The following is a 7,442-nucleotide window of genomic DNA, read 5'->3' on the forward strand; positions in this document are numbered from 1 at the left end:
CTTCAAGTCAGACATGGCGCCTCTTTTGCCATTCTGGCAATGCTTCCTTAATGCCAAACTCTGCTGTCTCATTTAACCATCTCCATCCTCCCCTATGTGACTAGTACCCCTAGTAGTCAACAGCCCCCTCTGTCATGTTCCTCGTGTTTCCCTTTGAAATTTCTACTCCATCTGTTTATTTGCTCTTCCCAGCAGGAAAACTGGAAATGGAAAAAGCTGATCTTATGCTTATGCTTAGGATTATGTCTAATGATATTTCTAGTGTTTGAAGGACAACAAAAAATAAAGATCAGGCTTCATTTTTCCAAAACCCTTCCATGTGTCTGCCCAAATCCTTATGCATTGTTTTAGAAATGTGATATATTTCTTTCTGACTCATTTACATTTACTGTTAGTCATCAAAAGGAGTCAGAAAAACTTTTGGAACCTCTCCCTATGAACCAGGAAGTTGCATTTCCCCTCCAGTCACAACCCCATAAAGCCTCAAGTTGCAAAGTAAACTTGCCAGGATGCTGGGCATTTGGCAAGATGCTTCTCTTTGTCATCAGAACCCTCAGCCCTGTGGAAGAAAGCAAGACAGCCTATGATACCAATAGTGAGCATAGTCCTAAAACAGCCGGAGACCATGAAAATGGACACAGGGATTCAGAAGAGAAAAATACAGGCCGGGTGTGGTGACTCACACCTGTAACCCCAACACTTTGGGAGTCCGAGGTGGGCAGATCACCTGAAGTCAGGAGTTCGAGACCAGCTTGGGCAACATGGTGAAACTCCATCTCTACTAAAAAATACAAAAATTAGCCAGGTATGGTGACGCATGCCTGTAATCCCAGCTACTTGGGAGGCCGAGGCATGAGAGTCACTTGCACCTGGGAGATGGAGGCTGCAATGAGCTGAAATTGCACCACTGCACCACGGCACTCCAGCCTGAGCAATAGAGTGAGACTTCATCTCAAAAAGGAAAAAAAAAAAAAAGAGAGAGAGAGAGAGAGAGAAATAAAATACATATTTGTATTTCCCATTCTCAATGGCACCAACAGGTCCTTCATCAGAGAGTGCAGTCCATGGTTCTATCCATGTTTATCCAGTCTCAGAGTACAGGGACGAGCCTATGGTCACACACCCCTCTAATGTAAGCCGCTCCCCATTCTACCAACAACCCCCACTTTCTATATTGCCCCTTCTTTGAATCGACCTCAGGGTCTAAGCCTTTTGGTCACTAAATTTAAAAGTCACATGAATACAAGTAGTATCAAAACTGAGCAGGAGGGAAAAATCTGATGTGGTAATACTGGAGTCTCCCAAACTCCCCAGATGAACCACATGGTTTTATTTTTCTTATTTCAAAAGAGGTGATGTTTCACACTACTACAGAAAAAAAAAATGGAACTTTGAACACTATTTCATAATCAGTATAGCTGATTGAATGTACTGACATGTTTCATGCTCTTTCTCATGTCTGATAGCCACACTCCTGTTTCCTCCCAATGTTGGAGATAATTCTTGAGACTTGGTAACAGAGCAGTAGCACGTAATTTGCTTTACCACTCAGTGCTTCAACCATCATAGGTAAAGAGTGTTCTTATCAACAAAACAGACACCATCCCTGGCATTCCATGCTGGCTTTCTCTGGTTTTAAATTAATTAAAGTCATTTTGTTTTTGTTCTTAATAAAAGGGAAAAGGATAAATGAGTAACAGCCAGTAGCCACATTAAATTGCTACCAGATGTTCTGCAGTTAGGCATAAAAGGTAAGCATCCTTTTACAATCAGGCAGCTTTCTTATATTAGAACAGTTCTGTTTCAGAAGAGAGCCAATGTTTTTGCTGACTTCTAGATAATTTTAAAGATACTATAATATTGGTGGATATTTTAAGAATTTTTAAATACTACAAATATTGGTGGGATATTTTGAGAATTTTTTAAAATTGAATTCTGAGCTTAAAGCACTTTATAGTTGCAAGGTTCTTGGACCCCTTCCTCATCTCCTAGCCATACACCCCCACAAAAATAAAAGAAAATGCAAGTGGAGACATTTCCTATAGAAGCTCATTATCCCCTCCCAGGTACTATGGCTGGATTCTCTTTTGCATTGGCTTATCTCCATGCTCCTTCCACATTACAAAATGAGGGCTCTATCATTTACATAACCTTGGCCCCCTTGCTTTTCAATAGATCTTCCTGCTCAGCTGCTATTAGAATCTGCCTTTGTATTTCCAAATTATATGCCATTTTCTCTGGAAGAATTTTCCAGTGTTCCACTGTCTTTCTTCCCACTATTGTATTTGTATAATGGCAGAACTGCCATGAGATTTGGGGGCATGAAGGCACTTCTTTCCTGAGTTCAGCAGTGACATAGAGTTCTCTTCATTCTCTTTCATAGCCTTTGGTCATTTTAATTAAGAGACTCTTGCAGGCCTCTAGCCCGGTTCACTAAAATTTAAATTCTCTCTAATTTATAATTTGTTGACATCATTGGCATCACCTCTTAGATGATCAAAATGACAATCCTATAACCCAGCCTGCCTATCTCAGTAAAACAGAAAGAATCTACTAGATGTTTTTCAGAATGTAAATAGATATAACATTTATAATGATTTTCCTATTGTCCAGCAAATTATCTCGCAGTTGGAGTCCTGCAAATGTTAGAGACATCTTGATGTTTCCTTCATAGTCACTCCAGAGTCTGTTAGTTCTTATGTATAAAGAAATTTCACAAAGAAATCCAGCTTTTCTCACTGCTAAAAGGATGTGGCCTTCTGTCCCTAAGCAAAGTGACCCATTTAGGGGAGGGATAAAATTTTAGAGCTTATTATTGGCTAAAACCCTACTCTGGATCAAAAGTTTGTTTTTAAAGTGCATTGTAGATTGCAGAACAACTATGAATCACTCATAAAGAGAGGTAACAAAGACCTGAGGCTATATGTGTAACCAGTGTATTGAACAATTTAAACCTGACAGGTACACAGAGAAAATGGTGTTTTCTCCAACCAATGGGGACTGAGGAATTATGCCTTTTAGAATCTCCTTGCCCTTCTCAAGAGCAAACCCTTTACAAACTTTCAGGCAGATTCCATAATTTCCAGGTAATGTTTAGAGATTAAAAACCCAGCCTGATCTAGTTTAAAACTCTCCTCTTACATAATTTAAACCTCATCTGCTTCACTCTCTCCACTGCCAGCCAATCTTCCATTCAGGAACATGGAGAGTAGACAAAATGGGTCTGCTACTATTATACACCCTTCCCTTCTTCCCTTTCCTCCTGTTCCTCTTCATCTCTGGCATATTTAAGGAGAAGAGGATTTACAAGGAAGGCGGCAAATGTGTTTTCCTAAATGGAATATGTTTTAGTTCTTTCTCTGTTAATTGTTATTGCTTCTCTGACTAATAATAATAATGTTAACAATTGCAAGGTACATTCTCAGTGCCCAGTGCCATATATATATACATATATATATATATATACACATATATATATACATATATATATATACATATATATATATATATATGAATTTATTTAACACCCACAACTCAATGAAATGGATACTTTTATTATCCCCATTTCACAGATGAGCAAACTAATGCTCAGAAAGGTGCCCAGTCTGACACAGCTAGTAAATGGCAGAACCGGTATTGAAACCCAGCAGGTGCAGCATCCAGGCTTTTAATGCCTTGATGGGTTATTAATGTCTCTCTATTGCAGGTGGTACCTGAATACTGACTGTCTCCTAGGACATTTGGGTTCTTTGGAGGGTCCTTCGGAAGACTGTGTATTGCACAGTGCCCTGATGTGGGAGATTCTTTACTGGTTCAACCTCTCATAATCCCCAGTCCTTGATCTCAATCCCTATTGAGGTAACCTGCAATTGCTTATGACTGGGGTTCTTTGTCTGGTGTCCAGTCTTCTTGGTAACTTAGCTACCTTCATAGCATCCACTGAACACACAGGAATGTCCCATGTCCCTACCATCCCAATGGTGGGGAGTTCTATTCCTGGACCCTCTCACTCTGCCCTCAGATTGTTGCAATTCTTTTTAGACAGTAATATTATTAAAAAAAAAAAAAGACAAAACAAATGCTTTCCTTGTCTCTGAGTCCTAGTCTCTTAATTCTTAGGCAGTTGAAAAATGACTCCATGAGATGTGTTGTTACCATTTACATTGTATCATTCAAGAATGAGAAGATCTAGGGAAATAATTCATCCCCTTTCTCCTTATATTTGCTGAGATGCCCTTCATCTTTACTTGAAGGCTGAGAACCAAAGCTATTTGTCTGGTTATAGGGCCTACAAATTGCAACAAAGGTTGGGGTGATTGTGCCTTTTAGTAAATTCCAAGGAAAAATGTCAAGTTGTATGTGTGTGTGTGTCTGTGTATGTTTACATATTTCCTACGTGTGTGTGTCTGTGTGTGTGTGTTTACATGTTTCCTATAATCATTTGTCTTGCTTTTTGAGGGCATTCCAACTACTGGTGGAAAAAATAAATAAATACAAGGGGGTCCATGCTGTGAGTAGTTGAAATGAAAATACTGGTGTTTTGATGGGATTAATTCAGTACATTTATAATAGACTAATTCACCCAAAATCAACTTCTAAAACCAGTTTGCCTTAACTCACTTAACTCAATTTCAGTTAGCCTGATGACTATTGCATCTAATGTTGAAAATTCAGAATTAAAAATGAAATATTGGCTGGATACAGTGGCTCATGCCTGTATCCCAGCACTTTGGGAGGCTGAGGCGGGTGGATAATTTGAGGTTGGGAGTTCGAGACTAGCCTGGCCAACATGGTGATACCCCATCTCTACTAAAAATACAAAAATTAGCCAGGCAGGGCAGCAGGTGCCTGTAGTCCCAGCTACTCAGGAGGCTGAAGCAGGATAATCGCTTGAACCTGGGAGGCAAAGGTTACAGTGAGCCAAGATTGTGCCACTGAGCTCCAGCCTGGGCAACAGAGTGAGACTCTGTCTTGAAAAAAAAAAAAAAGAAAAAGAAAGAAAGAAACATTTACCAAATAATATGGCTGAGTATTTATGACTAATTTTTGTATTGCTAATACTTTATCACATATAGGGAATCATGAGATTGTTACATATTGTTGTGACTGTCTTTTTCTGTTCCAGTCATTTTGAACACTTGCATTATTCTTTAGCCAATTTGTCAAAAAAAAAAAGTCTTTTTCTTTACAATTTTGAATTTCTGCTAAAAATATTTAGTGGAATGAAATTTATTCCATTAAAAAAACGAACCTTTTGATTATTATTGTCTCCTTGCTACTTTCCTTTATTATAAGAGTCTATGAACTCTACATGTATGTGTATATATATACATATGTATGCATTAACCAAATTAGCATACTCTCAGAGCTCATTTCTGTTTAGTGAGGTATTCGTATTTTAAAAGAATAAAGAAAAATGGGTCCCTCTTTTGATCACCATTCCATGTTATTTATCAAGAGATGTAATTGATAAAGGTTTTATTTTGTTTTGTTTTGAGACAGAGTCTCTCTCTCTTCCTCCCAAGTTGGAATGCAGTGGTGTGTGATCTCGGCTCATTGCAGCCTCTGCCTGAGCTCAAGAGATCCTCCTGCCACAGCCTTCCAAATAGCTGGGACTACAGGTGTGTGCCATAACGCCCAGCTAATTTTTGTATTTTTTGTAAAGAAGGAGTTTCACCATGTTGCTCAGACTGGTCTTGAATTCCTGGGCTCAAATGATCCTCCTGCCTGGGTCTCCCAAAGTGCTGGAATTACAGGCATGAGCCACCATGCCTGGCCCTAATTGATAAAGTTTTAAAATGCAAAATGTGCATCATTTCCAAATGAATTTATAGTGAGAATCATAACATTTTGAAAAACAGTTTTCAAAATGCCACTGGAGTGTTAACAAATTAATACCATCTGTGATGACTTTTCCATTCTGCCAAAACCTGATAAAGCTCTGCTGAAGTAAAGAAATTGGTTTCACAGAGCCAGCACACTGAATGGGCAAAAGCTGGAAGTATTCCCCTTGAAAACCAGAATAAGACAAGGATGCCCACTCTCACCACTCCTATTCAACATAGTACTAGAAGCCCTGGCCATAGCAATCAGATAAGGGAAAGAAGTAAAAGGCATCCAAATAGGAAGAGGGGAACTCAAAGTATCCCTGTTTGCAGATAACATGATTCTATATCTAGAAAACCCCATAGTCTCTGCCCAAAAGCTCCTTGAGCTGTTAAGCAACATCAGCAAAGTTTCAGGGTACAAAATTAATGTACAAAAGTCAGTAAATTCCTATATACCAACAATCACCAAGCCAAATCAGAAACACAATCCCATTCACGATTGCCACAAAAGAATAAATACCGAGGAATACAGCTAACCAGGAAGGTGAAAGATCTCTGCAATAAGAATTACAAAACACTGCTCAATGTGCTTAAAGCAATTTATAGATTCAATGCTACTGCTATCAAACAACCAACGACATTCTTCACAGAACTAGAAACAAAACTATTCTAAAATTCATATAGAATCAAAAAAGGGCCCAAACAGCCAAGGCAACCCTAAACAAAAAGAACAAAGCTGGAGGAATCATGCTATCTTACTTCAAACTATACTACAGGACTGCAGTAACCAAAACAGCATGGTACTGGTACAAAAACAGACATATAGACCACTGGAAGAGAATAGAGAGCTCAGAAATAAAACCACACACTTACAACCATCTAGTCTTAGGCAAAGCTGGCAAAAACAGGCAATGGGGAAAGAATCCCTATTTAATAAATGGTGCTGTGATAGCAGGCTAGCCATATGTAAAAGATTGAAGCTGGATCCCTTCCTTACACCATATACAAAAATCAACTCAAGATGGATTATAGACCTAATAAAACCTAAAACAGTAAACCTGAAAGATAACTTAGGAAATACATTTTGGCCATAGGAACTGGCAAAAATTTCATGATGAAAATGCCAAAAGCACTTGCAGCCAAAGCAAATCTGACAAATGGAACTTAATTAAACTTAAGAGCTTCTACATAGCAAAAGAAACTATCAACAGAGTAAACAGGCAACTTACAGAGTGGAGAAAATATTTACAAACCATACATCTGACAAAGGTCTAATATTTCAGAATCTACAGGGAAATTATACATACAAGGAAAAAAACAAACAACCTCATTTAAAAGTGAGCAAAGGACATAAACAGACACTTTTGAAAAGAAGACATACATGCAGCCAACAAGCATATGAAAAAATGCTCAATATCACTAATCATTAGAGAAATGCAAATCAAAACCACAATGAGATACCATGTCACTCCAGTTAGAGTGGCTATTATTAAAAAGTCAAAACATAACAGATGCTGTCTGAGACCAGCCTGGACAACATGGCAAAACCTCGTCTCTACTAGAAATCCAAAAGTTAGCCAGGTGTGGTGGCACATGCCTGTAATCCCAGCTGCT

General features: G+C 38.6%; 1 protein-coding gene across 9 annotated transcripts in view, besides 1 other annotated feature; it reads left to right on the forward strand.

Moving 5' to 3' along the window:
* MUSK (muscle associated receptor tyrosine kinase) overlaps positions 1-7,442 on the forward strand; it is a 137,768-nt gene that overhangs the window by 83,695 nt on the left and 46,631 nt on the right. The gene's annotated exons all lie outside the window — the stretch shown is intronic.
* Positions 324-618: a silencer, noted in NCBI's record as "tiled region #6532; K562 Repressive non-DNase unmatched - State 24:Quies". NCBI's record gives its function as "represses a minimal TATA promoter and a strong SV40 promoter by Sharpr-MPRA in K562 cells {active_cell/tissue: K562}" and the evidence as "EXISTENCE:reporter gene assay evidence [ECO:0000049][PMID:27701403]".

Source organism: Homo sapiens, chromosome 9, assembly GCF_000001405.40.
Source record: "Homo sapiens chromosome 9, GRCh38.p14 Primary Assembly".
Lineage (NCBI taxonomy): Eukaryota > Metazoa > Chordata > Mammalia > Primates > Hominidae > Homo > Homo sapiens.